General features: G+C 45.3%; 1 pseudogene, besides 3 other annotated features; it reads right to left on the reverse strand.

The window, feature by feature from the left end:
• Positions 968-1,027: an enhancer, noted in NCBI's record as "active region_20549". NCBI's record gives its function as "activates an Ori minimal core promoter by ATAC-STARR-seq in GM12878 lymphoblastoid cells {active_cell/tissue: GM12878}" and the evidence as "EXISTENCE:reporter gene assay evidence [ECO:0000049][PMID:35858748]".
• Positions 1,138-1,257: an enhancer, noted in NCBI's record as "active region_20550". NCBI's record gives its function as "activates an Ori minimal core promoter by ATAC-STARR-seq in GM12878 lymphoblastoid cells {active_cell/tissue: GM12878}" and the evidence as "EXISTENCE:reporter gene assay evidence [ECO:0000049][PMID:35858748]".
• On the reverse strand, positions 5,786-5,987 carry FAM76AP1 (FAM76A pseudogene 1; annotated as a pseudogene).
• Positions 11,352-11,851: an enhancer, noted in NCBI's record as "H3K4me1 hESC enhancer chr3:133270481-133270980 (GRCh37/hg19 assembly coordinates)". NCBI's record gives its function as "activates a minimal SCP1, AML or CMV promoter by ChIP-STARR-seq in naive H9 embryonic stem cells {active_cell/tissue: H9 hESC(naive)}" and the evidence as "EXISTENCE:reporter gene assay evidence [ECO:0000049][PMID:30033119]".

Here is a 13,268-nt window from a genome sequence, read left to right on the forward strand (position 1 = left end):
CACACAAATATATACATATGTATATACACATATATACACACACACACATATATATGCTGCTCTTCACTTTAAGAAAGTGTTTATTTCCCCTCTCCTTATATCTGGACTGGCCTGTGACTGCATTGGCCATAGAACGCATCATAAGATGTTCAAGGACATCTGAATCTCAGGCCTCAGGAAGACTGGTAGCTTCTGTTTCCTTCCTCTTACAGTGCCTGTCCTTGGGGTGTTCTTTTTTTTTTTTTTTCCCTTCAACTCTTTTTTTTGAGACAGAGTCTTGCTGTGACACCCAGGCTGGAGTGCAATGGCATGATCTTGGCTCACTGCAACCTCCGCCTCCTGGGTTCAAGGGATTCTCCTGCCCCAGCCTTCCGAGTAGGTGGGATTACAGGCACGCGCCACCACACCTGGCTAATTTTTGTATTTTAAGTAGAAACGGAGTTTCACCATATTGGCCAGGCTGGTCTCGAACTCCTGACCTCAAGTGATCTGCCCACCTCAGCCTCCCAAATTGCTGGGATTACAGGCACAAGCCACTGCGCCCAGCCTTCCTTCAACTTTTAAGTTCAGGGGTACATGGGATGTTCTCTCTCATTACCAGCCTATTCCATGTGGAAAGACCACATGGAGGAGAACCAAGACTCTCCTGCTGACAGCCTCAGCTGAGCTCCAGGCCAATAGCCAGCACCAACTGCCAGCCTGGCAAGTGAGTCATTTTGGATTCCAGCCATGTTGAACCCTAGTTGACTACAGCTTCAACCAATATCATGGAGAGCAGAAGAACTGCCAAGCTGAGTCCTGTTAACCCACAGATATGAGGGATACTAAAATGATTGTTGTTTTAAGCCTAGGTTTGGGGGCAATGTGGCAGCCAGCCTCCAAGATGGCCCCAGTGGTCCCCACCTCCTGGTATTCACACCACTTTATAAGCCCTTTGCACTTTGTACCAGAGCTGGCCTGTGTGACTAATAGAATACAGCACGGTGTGTTACTTCCTGGATTAGGCTATAAAAGACCTTGTGGCTTCTGTCTTGGTCACTCTTTCAGATCCCTCTTCCTGTTGGAAACAGCACCATGGAGAGGCCCACATAGTGTGACCAACTCCTCCCAGGACTTCCCAGGACTTTCCCGGTTCAGCACTGAAAGTCTCACATCCTGAGAACTCCCTCAATCCTGGACAAACCAGGATGGTTGGTCACCATATGCCCATATGGTAAGGAAATGAGACATTTGGACAACAGCCAGCAAGAAACTGAGGCCTCCTACACACAGTCATGTGAGGACACCATCTTGGGAGTAAACCCTCCAGCCCCAGCCAAGCCCTGAGCTGCCTGCAGTCCCAGCTGAAGCTCAACTGCAACCTCAGGAGAGCTTCTGAGCTAGAACTATTTGCCTAAGCTGATTATGGAATCCTGTCCCTGTGATGTATTATTTTAAGCTGCTAAATTTGGGATAATTTACTAAACAACAATAATAGATTTTTTTTTTTCTCGAGATGGCGCCCTGCTCTCTCGTCCATGCTGGAGTGCAGTGGCACAATCTCAGCTCACTGAAACTTCCACCTCCCAGGTTCAAGCAATTCTCCGGCCTCAGCCTCCCAAGTAGCTGGGATTACAGGTGCACGCCACCACGGCTAATTTTTTTTTTTTTGTATTTTTAGTAGAGACGGGGTTTCACCATGTTGGCCAGGCTGATCTCGAACTCCTGACCTCAGGTGATCCGCCTGCCTTGACCTCCCAGAGTGCTGGGATTACAGGCGTGAGCCACCACACCTGGCCAACAAGAGATATCTTATACAGGTTGTTTGTTACACCCCAACAGAAGCAGGGGACATTAGTGGATCATGTTCTCCACCCTGTTGTGTGTATTTTATATAAATGTATGGGGTAAACAATAATTAAAATTTAAAAAACAAAAAAAAACTTTTATGGGGTACGAGTGTAATTTTGTCACATGGATACATCGTGTAGTGGATCTACCTTTTGTGTGTGTGTGTGTGACAGGGTATCACTCTGTCATCCAAGCTGGAGTACAGTGGTGTGATCATAGCTCACTGAAGCCTCAAGCTCCCATGTCCAAGCGATCCTCCCACCTCAGCCTTCCAAGTAGCTGGGACTACAGGTGTGCACCACCATGCCCAGCTAATTTTTTAATTTTTTCAGAGACGGGGTCTCCCTATGTTCCTCAAGCTGGTCTCAAACTCCTGGACTCAAGCAATCCTCCAGCCCCAGCCTCCCAAAGTGCTAGGATTACAGGTGTGAGCCACTGCGCCCAACCTACCCTGTTTTAGACAGCTGTGATGATCTTTCTGTTTGGGGATTTCTTTTCCTTTCCTGAAAATCAACCTAACAGAATTTTGCTCCTGGAGTTTCTGGAGAGCAGTGCTGGGCAGGTCCCCTGGCTGCTGCTGGGTGAGCATTCCAACTCTAATTGTTTTCCAAGCTTTAACCATAAGTCCCTTGGACTCCCTTGGGTCCTCTAACCTCTCTATTTCCAAATGCTCTCTGAGGTGGCCCTTATTTCTGTGAAGGCCTGAGGTGTTTACCTGGGCTGCTTACATAGCCTTCTCTGCTAGAAAAGATCCCTGATGTCTGGCAGCATGAGATCTGTGCAGAGAACAGTACGCGGGGTGCATGGCCTACAGGGCACGCAGGTGTGGGAGTCTGGGTGGGCCCCTCCTTGACCCCAAAATCTTTCCCAACCAGGCACCAAGGAATCAGATCTTAGCATTTGGGTGTGACTCATTCACTTGGGAGGGACAATTTCTTCACTGGTACCTCCTTTTGAGTGAATTTATTGAAGACACTCTTTTCTGCTGGGGTAGCATGAGATGAATTTGAACATAATCCAAGGCCGGCACAGAAGGCAGGCGTGGCCCAAAGCTGACCCTGGCTCCACTTCATAATTCCATGTTAGACCGATCCTGATCTGTCTACAGAGAGTCAGGCTGCAGGGCTACCCCCGTGCTGAGCACCCCAGCATGCTCAAGGGCAGGCCGTGGTGTACACCAGAGACCCAGAGACACCTTGCAAGTACAAAGTAGGTAAGATACAAATTAACATGTACTGAGTGCATTTGCTTCCCAAGGCTGCCATAACAAAGTCCGTAAACTGGGTGGCTGAAAATAACCGAAATGTATCCTCTCACAGCTCTGGAGAGTAGAAGTCCAAAATTAAGGTGTCATGGGCTTGGATCCTTCGAAGGGCTATGAGGGAGAATCTGTTCTCGGCCTCTCTCCTTGCCTCTGGTGTTTTGGTGGCGATCTTTGTTGTTCCTTGGCTTGTTGGCGCGTCACTCCAATCTCTTCATCTTCACATGGCCTTTTCCTTGTGTGCATCTCTGTCTCTGAGTCCAAACTTTCCACCCTAATGTCTTCATCTTCACTTAATCATCTGCAAGGACCCCATTTCCAAATAAGGTCACATTCACAGGCACTACGGGTTAGAACTTCAACATCTTTCAAGGGAATGCAATTCAATCCGTAACACTGAGGAGTTAGTAAAAATAGTTAATATCTATGAAATATCAGGAACTGCCGTGACAGTCATTTTATATACATTATTCTTAAATTTTCTTTTCCTTTTTTTCTTTTTTTTTTTGAGATGGAGTCTCACTCTGTCACCCAGGCTGGAGTGCAATGGCACGATCTTGTCTCAATGCAACCTCCGTGTCCCAGATTGAAGCAATTCTACCTCAGCCTCCCAACTAGCCGGGATCACAGGCATGCACCATTACACCTGGCTAATTTTTGTATTTTTAGTAGAGACAGGGTTTCACCATGTTGGCCAGGCTGATTTCGAACTCCTGACCTCAAGTGATTTGCCCACTTCAGCCTCACAAAGTGCTATGATTACAGGCATGAGCCACCACGCCCAGCCTATATACATTATTCTTAATCCTCACAAAGATGCCCTCATTTTATAGCTGTAGAAACTGAGGATAAGAAAACTTATGGGGCTTATACTAAATTACATAGCTAGAAAGTACAAGCTCTGGAATCAGATAGGCTGGCTTCACCACTTACCTGTGTGAAGCCTTGGGCAAGTTATTTTAACCTCTCTGTGCCTCAGTTTCCTCATTTGTAAAATGAGGATAATAATCATGATTCTTTCATTCATGCTGAGTTGTTGCAAGGATTTTATTTATTTATTTTTTTCTGAGTTATATTATGTGCCAGGTTCAATATTATTGTTTTATATACCTATCTGAATTACATTTCCCCATGTCTTTGTGAGACATGTCTTTGTGAGACAATAACTATTGTTATTCCCATGGAGAAAGATGAAGAAAGTGATGCATAATGCGGCCAAGTAGCCAGGGTCATTCAGCTAGCCCCAGGAGTCAGATGGGACCCAGGTTTGGGGGACTGCTGCTTGTGCTACCTCCTGATTACTAATTAAGATTCTTCAGTATCTTGATACAGGGAAGAGGTGTCCTGGTTGGCAGGCAGGAGTATCCTGGTCAATGGAAAGTTATATCCTTCCATTGTAAGTTAATGAATTTGGTAAGCAAGAGTCACCCCTTGAGCCCAAGCACCTCTTAAAAGCACCTCTGGTCACTGAAAAAGAGTTTCTCAACTGCCATCTTTTATTCAACAAATACTTATTGAGCAGCTACTATGTGCCAGGCCACTGGAAATAAAGCAGAGAATGAGATGGACAAAGAGCTCACATTCTAGTCGGGGTGGACAAACATGTAACCAAATAAGCAAGACTAGTTTTCAATATGTGAGATGCTATGAAGACAATAAAATGGTATGATAAATAATGACTAAGGGAGTCAGTAAAAGGTCACTGTGAGCAGGTGGTACCTGAGCTGAGACCTGACATGATCAGCCAGTTATGAGACTCTAGAGAAGGGTGCATTAGGCACAAGGACAGACAGTGCAAAGGTCGGAGTGAGATCTGCATGTCAGACAGACTACAGGGTGGTGGCCAGGATGGCTGGAGCAAGGTGAGAGGTAGAAAGTATGATGCAAGATGAGACTGAGAGCTGGGTATGGGCCTTGCAGGCCATAGAAGGGATTTCAGTTTTATTCTAAGCACAACTGGAAACCCGTGGAGGATTTTAAGCAAGAGAGTAATATGCCCAAACTCTAAATCATTTTGATTCTATCAAGGTCTACCCTTCCACGTAGAGCTTCCCTCTAACGTAATCTTGTAATCTTGAATTTCAACAGATAGAAACATTTAAAGAGCCAGATAGTAAAACTGGTAATGCCACTCCATCTTGCTTAAGTTACAATCTCTCCTTTACAGGATTCCACAGAATTCTGGCAATCACCATTTCACTTACGTGATGACTGTAATTCATATTCTCGTGAAATGTTAGAATATAATGGTCCACATTTTATGAATGAACAAAACAAAATATGAATATCTTCTTTAAGGTCAATAATAGAACCAGGAAAGAAACTGAGAAATCTTTCTTTGTTACATGTGTTTTTTTTTTTTTGTTTTTTTTTTTTTTGAGATGGAGTCTTGCTCTGTCACCCAGGCTGGAGTGCGTGGCATGATCTCAGCTCACTGCAACCTCTGCCTCCCGGGTTCAAGTGATTCTTCTGCCCCAGCCTCCCGAGTAGCTGGGACTACAGGCGCATGCCACCACGCCTGGCTAATTTTTTGTATTTTTAGTAGAGACGCGGTTTCACCGTGTTAGCCACGATAGTCTTGATCTCCTGACCTCATGATTCTTGCCTCGCCCTCCCAAAGTGCTGGGATTACAGGCATGAGCCACCACGCTCGGCCTATTAAATGTGTTTTTAACACAGTCCACCTTAATTTCTCGTTCCATACAACTGCACGTTCTGAGCACATTTCTTGCATATTGTATTGGTTTTACTCTCCTGCTGGTACTCAGTCCTGCAGTAGGTGCACTTCACAACAGGGTGTGCAATCCGACATTCCTTGCACAGCTGCTGCCCCTGAGACAGCACCTGGAAGGGGAAACGCTGGTGGCACTTGGTGCAGGCGTAGAGCGCCGCCATGTCCGGCCCGGGCCGCGCTCACCGACCCGCCAGCCCGGCCCGCTGATTTATCTCGTTGCAAGGATTTTAAAGATAATGCACAGAGGGCCGGGCACAGTGGCTCACGCCTGTAATCCCAGCACTTTGGGAGGCCAAGGCGGGCAGATCACGAGGTCAGGAGTTCGAGACCAGCCTAGCCAACATGGTGAAACCCCGTCTCTACTAAAAATACAAAAATTAGCTGGGCGTGATGGCGGGTGCCTATAGTCCTAACTGCTTGGGAGGCTGAGGTAGAGGAATTGCTTGAAACTGGAAGGCGGAGGTTGCAGTGAGCCAAGATCATGCCACTGCACTCCAGCCTGGGCGAAAGAGCGAAACTCCGTCTGAAAAAAAAAAAAAAAAAGGTAATGCACAGAGCCTGGTACATAGAAATTACTGAATTCATGGTAGTTGTCGTTATAAGTCGTGGAGTCAAGATTTAAATCCACATCTCCTTAGCTCCAATTTCTTCATTCTTTTCTCTCTGATCCAGCATAACCAGGTGTCAGGCACTTCTGTGTCCATGATCTCATAGAATCTTCATAATACCTCTGTGAGGTGAATATTTCTGGCTAGCTTTTATGCTTGTAGGAAATAAGGCACAGAGAGGTGAGGTGACTTTACCAAGGTAATCCAGTAAATAAAGCATTCTATTCTAGCTCCACGGATTCTAATATTTCTTCCCCTATGTTACCTCTCATCCCAGTGCATGGAGGTTCACAGGCATAATATAAAGGAACATTTTCCTCTACAATGGTTTGCTAATAGCCTCTATATCTAAGGTAGTCAGTCAAGATTATGAGCTAAGTCAGTGGCCCAACCTGAGACTATGACAGGCAGAGTTCTGTTCCCATAAGAGTCAGCTCCTGCCAGGTTCAGAAAGCTCAGGCCACAGAATATGCTGTTAATCTTGAGAAAGTCCTTCAGGAGAAGGAAGCTGTCTCTCCCTCTTTTTCTCCCTCTCTCTCCCCTGCTCCTACACCACACACACACACACACACACACACACACACACACACAATGCTTATAAGAGTCTTCACCCTTGGGACAAGCAACTAACCATTGAAAAGAGATCGGTTATATAAGACTTTTCTGTTCGGAAGCCTGAAAAGTGAAAACCAGCTGTGATATGGTTTGGATCTGTGTACCTGCCAAATCTCATGTTGAAATGTAATCCCCAGTGTTGGAGGAGGGGCCTGGTGGGAGGTGTTGGGTCAGGTTGTCTAAAGTGCGTGGCACCTCCCCTACTCTCTCTTGCTCCTGTGTTTGCTGTGTGACGTGCAAGCTCCTTGCTTTGCCTTCTGCTGAGAATAAAATCTCCCTGAGGCCTCCCCAGAAGCTGAGTCCTGATGCCAGCACAATCCTTCCTGTATAGCCTGCAGAAACATGAGCCAGTTAAACTTCTTTTACTATAAACCACCCAGTCTCAAGTATTTCTTTATAGCAATGCAAAAACAGCCTAACACAAGCTGCCAGGCCCAGTTCATAGTTCCCCAGCAAACCAGTGCTAGGGAGGATTCCAAAAGACAAAAATAGAAAGAAATTCCAAAAATGCAAATACCTCAGAGAGGAATGCTTTTGGGTTTCTTCATCAGGATAGAAAGAAAGTTAGAGCAGCAGAAGCCTTTTGCTGGAGCTTTCTCTGATCCTCCCTGTACCACCTCTGCCCAGCGGCTCTCCACACCACAGCTTAGTCCTGCAGACACCTGGGGAGAACAGACATTTCTGTAGCTACCCAGGGGCCTCATCTGGCACTTAGACAAGTTTTGTTCCACCTGCACACATTTTTAAGTAGTTGCTAAAAATTTTAAATTATGAGATTTTACCTAAGCTTTTGGATTTTTGTTGTTTTGCTTCTTTTGAAAAATCAAAGGTTCTGGCCAGGTGACTGTATTCTTGAGTGGTGTGAGCTGGAGTTGGGTCATGGTTGCCTCCTGATTATTTTTATGCCTAGACCACTAATCTTGTCTAGTCCCTGCAAGAATTCGGGTTTTTCACTTCAGGCCAACTGTGACCTCAGCTCTGCCTGTCAAATGAAACAGATGTGGCTTTGCCTTGGCATTCAAAAATATTTCTAAGCATGGCTTATTCAGACTTACCACTCATGACTACACTTCGTTCAAAATTTTTCTACTCCTTCATCCTCTAACAGATATCTTATTTTCCCACATTAATGGCTTTTCTAGTGATTTTTATTTCCTCTAACATGTCTTCTTTCCGAACTTGGCCTTGGAACTCTTCCATATCCTTTAAAATCCATATGAAGGCCTTGCAGAATCTCCCAAATAAAGTTTTACGAACTTTCTTTCCTTCGATGCTCCAAAACAACCTTTTTTTTAAATTTTTTTATTTTTTACTCAGGCTGGTCTTGAACTCCTGGCCTCAAGTGACCCTCCCACCTTGGCCTCCCAAAGTGCTGGGATTACAGGTATGAGCCACCCCATTCCCAGCCCAACTTGTTATTCTTTGAAGTACTCACTCTGGATTTTCATAACTTCACATATTTGCACATTATGTTTTTTCTTCCTGGAATTGACTTCCCTCTTTCTCTGCCTGTTGAAGTCCTAATTGTTTTATACTCATTCATAAGCCACTCCCTCTGGGCTTCCTTCCCCATTTACCTGAGCAGAATGGGTTGATTCTTCTTCTGTGAGATGCATTTGTAGAAACATATTTAGTATGTAAATATATATACCATCTATTTGCATTATACACACACACACACACACACACACACACACACACACAACATAATAACATATATAGCTTTTGGAGACAGAAAGCCCTGGATTCAATCCCAGCTCCACCATTTGCAAGCTGCTTGATTTCAAGCAAATAAATTATCTAAATCACGTCTGCTTCATCTATAAAAATGGCAGTGACAATGATAAAACCTACACCAAAGAGTCATAGTGAATATCAGTTGCCACACAGCTAACCTCTCAGTAAAGTTTCACTAGTGCTTTTATCCCTGTATTAGCACTAGTTTCTTTGAATAATTATTTGGGGGAATGTGTCTTCCCTATCAGACTGTGGGCTTCAGTGTGGGGACTGTGTCTTATTCATCTTTCTAGGGCTTAATAAATATGTATTGAATGAACCAATTCACTATTATGTATACATTGGTTTCATGACCTCTACTTGAGGGTTAGCTCCTTGAGTTGTCAACTGGGCCTTTCTTTTTATGATGTAAGCTCCATGATCCTCCAGGGCCTACCACAGTGACTTTAATAGGCCCTTAATGTGTAAATACTTAGCGAACGATTGAATGGACTTCCCAGAGTCCAGCTTTCAAAGACCACTGATGAACAAGAATCTGTGTTAGTAACTGCTATGTGCCAGGAACCGTACACATATCATTTCCTTTAAAGAGGACATATCATTTCCTTTGAAGTCAGACCAGGAGCAGTTGTTCATGCTGGTAATCCCAGCACTTTGGGAGGCCGAGGTGGGAGGACTGCTTGAGCCCTAGAGGTCAAGGATGCAGTGAGCTGTGATTGCGCCACTGCACTCCAGCGTAGGTGACAAAACAAGACCCTGTCTCAAAAAATAAATAAATAAATAAATAGATTTCTGTATTAATCTTTACCAACACTTAATCCTCACCAACATGCTGTAGGGTTAATATACTGTTTTAGAGGAGGAAACAGAGACTTAGAAAGGCTAAGTAAACTTGTAAGACTTCAGAATCCCATTTCAGTAACACCACTCTTCTTAGCCAGAAGTTTTTTGTCAATGTCCAGTAAATAGAACAACACTTCTCAACTGTCTCTGTTCTAACCTGGAGCAATGGTTGCTAAAAATAAGGCCCTGCCCCTCACTCCCAGCCCACCACTCTTCTGTTAAGGACTTTTAAATACTTTCTTTTTCTCCTTGTCTTTCCCTTCCTCCACTTTTCTAAAGGAATGGAAAAATCTTCCTTGTGAAGAGGCTTGGAATAAGAGAGCTATGATCATGTTCTCAGGGCCCAGTGCAAAATGTAAATGCAGGGCACCTTGTTCAAAAAAAAAAATTTTTTTTTTTTTTGAGATGGAGTTTCACTCTGTCGCCCAGGCTGGAGTGCAGTGGTGCAATACCAGCTCACTGCAAGCTCCGCCTCCCGGGTTCACGCTAATTCTCCTGCCTCAGCCTTCCCAGTAGCTGGGACCACAGGCACCTGCCACCACGCCCGGCTAATTTTTTTTTTTTTTTGTATTTTTAGTAGAGACGGGGTTTCACCGTGTGTTAGCCAGGATGGTCTCTATCTCCCAACCCCGTGATCCGCCCACCTTGGCCTCCCAAAGTGCTGGGATTACAAGTGTGAGCCACTGCGCCCAGCCCCCTTGTTAAAAAATTATCAAGAATTTAAAGATGGCTGACAACAGAGCATTTAATTGAGTGTCCAAGAGCAATCCTGCCATTTCTGAGAGCAGAGTCCTGGGCAACTGCACAAGGCTGCAGGCCTCTAGAGGCATGCCATGCCCCTAGACCTCAACTGTTTTTCCATCAAAAATCAGTATCACCAGCTTTTGTCCTGCCCAACTTTCCAAACTTGGCTGCCATTAATTTCTCACATCCCTGCATGCACTAGCCACTCCCCTTAAGTAGAGGTGAAGAGAATTCCTCTTCTTCTTCTCCCATAACATGTTTTAAATTTAAAAAAAAGAAATTTAACCAGGAGTGGTGGCTCACACGTATAATCCCAGCGTTTTAGGAGGCTTGAGGCAGGAGGATCACTTGAGCCTAGGAGTCCAAGACCAGCCTGGGCAACGTAGCAAGACTTCATCTCTACAAAAAATAAAATTAGTAGGGCATGGTGGCACGCACCTGTAATCCCAGCTACTCAGGAGACTGAGGCAGGAAAATCACTTGAGCCCAGGAGTTCGAGGCTGCAGTGAGCTGTGATCCCACCACTGCACTCCAGCCTGGCTGACAGAGTGGGACCCCATCTCAAAAAAAAAAAAAAAATTAAGCTGGTGATAGTAAAGCCATGTTATGAGCTTTAAGGACATTGAAGTCATTAAGATTCCTGGAAATGGCTACAAAAAATTTTTAAAAAACAAAAACCAGAGGAGCCAAGATGGCCGAACAGGAACAGCTCCGTTCTACACCTCCCAGCGTGAGCAATGCAGAAGACGGGTGATTTCTGCATTTCCATCTGAGGTACCAGGTTCATCTCACTAGCGAATGCCAGACAGTGGGCACAGGACAGTGGGTGCAGCACACCTTGCGCCAGCCGAAGCAAGGCGAGGCATTGCCTCACTCAGGAAGCGCAAGGGAGTTCCCTTTCCTGGTCAAGGAAAGGGGTGACAGATGGCACCTGGAAAATTGGGCCACTCCCACCCAAATACTGCGCTTTTCCGACAGGCTTAGGAAACGGCGCACCAGGAGATTATATCCCGCACCTGGCTCGGAGGGTCCTACGCCCACGGAGTCTCGCTGATTGCTAGCACAGCAGTCTGAGATCAAACTGCAAGGCAGCAGCGAGGCTGGGGGAGGGGCACCCGCCATTGCCCAGGCTCGCTTAGGTAAACAAAGCAGCTGGGAAGCTCGAACTGGGTGGAGCCCACCACAGTTCAAAGAGGCCTGCCTGCCTCTGTAGGCTCCACCTCTGGGGGCAGGGCACAGACAAACAAAAAGACAGCAGTAACCTCTGCAGACTTAAATGTCCCTGTCTGACAGCTTTGAGGAGAGCAGTGGTTCTCCCAGCACGCAGCTGGAGATCTGAGAACGGGCAGACTGCCTCCTCAAGTGGGTCCCTGACCCCTGACCCCCGAGCAGCCTAACTGGGAGGCACCCCCAGCAGGGGCAGACTGACACCTCACACGGCCGGGTACTCCTCTGAGACAAAACTTCCATAGGAACGATCAGACAGCAGCATTCGTGGATCGCGAAAATCTGCAGTTCTGCAGACACTGCTGCTGATACCCAGGCAAACAGGGTCTGGAGTGGACCTCTAGCAAACTCCAACAGACCTGCAGCTGAGGGTCCCATCTGTTAGAAGGAAAACTAACAAACAGAAAGGCCATCCACACCAAAAACCCATCTGTACATCACCATCATCAAAGACCAAAAGTAGATAAAACCACAAAGATGGGGAAAAAACAGAGCAGAAAAACTGGAAACTCTAAAAAGCAGAGCGCCTCTCCTCCTCCAAAGGAACACAGTTCCTCACCAGCAATGGAACAAAGCTGGATGGAGAATGACTTTGACGAGTTGAGAGAAGAAGGCTTCAGACGATCAAACTACTCCAAGCTGCAGGAGGAAATTCAAACCAAAGGCAAAGAAGTTGAAAACTTTGAAAAAACTTTAGACGAATGTATAACTAGAATAACCAATACAGAGAAGTGCTTAAAGGAGCTGAGGGAGCTGAAAGCCAAGGCTCGAGAACTACGTGAAGAATGCAGAAGCCTCAGGAGCCGATGCGATCAACTAGAAGAAAGGGTATCAGTGATGGAAGATGAAATGAATGAAATGAAGAGAGAAGGGAAGTGTAGAGAAAAAAGAATAAAAAGAAACGAACAAAGCCTCCAAGAAATATGGGACTATGTGAAAAGACCAAATCTGCGTCTGATTGGTGTACCTGAAAGTGACGGGGAGAATGAAACCAAGTTGGAAAACACTCTGCAGGATATTATCCAGGAGAACTTCCCCAATCTAGCAAGGCAGGCCAACATTCAGATTCAGGAAATACAGAGAATGCCACAAAGATACTCCTCGAGAAGAACAACTCCAAGACACATAATTGTCAGATTCACCAAAGTTGAATTGAAGGAAAAAATGTTAAGGGCAGCCAGAGAGAAAGGTCGGGTTACTCACAAAGGGAAGCCCATCAGACTAACAGCGGATCTCTCGGCAGAAACCCTACAATTCAGAAGAGAGTGGGGGCCAATATTCAACATTCTTAAAGAAAAGAATTTTCAACCCAGAATCTCATATCCAGCCAAACTAAGCTTCATAAGTGAAGGAGAAATAAAATACTTTACAGACAAACAAATGCTGAGAGATTTTGTCACCACCAGGCCTGCCCTAAAAGAGTTCCTGAAGGAAGCACTAAACATGGAAAGGCACAACCAGTACCAGCCACTGCAAAATCATGCCAAAATGTAAAGACCATCGAGACTAGGAAGAAACTGCATCAACTAACGAGCAAAATAACCAGCTAACATCATAATGACAGGATCAAACTCACACATAACAATATTAACTTTAAATGTAAATGGACTAAATGCTCCAATTAAAAGACACAGACTGGCAAATTGGATAAAGAGTCAAGACCCATCAG

Source organism: Homo sapiens, chromosome 3, assembly GCF_000001405.40.
Source record: "Homo sapiens chromosome 3, GRCh38.p14 Primary Assembly".
NCBI lineage: Eukaryota > Metazoa > Chordata > Mammalia > Primates > Hominidae > Homo > Homo sapiens.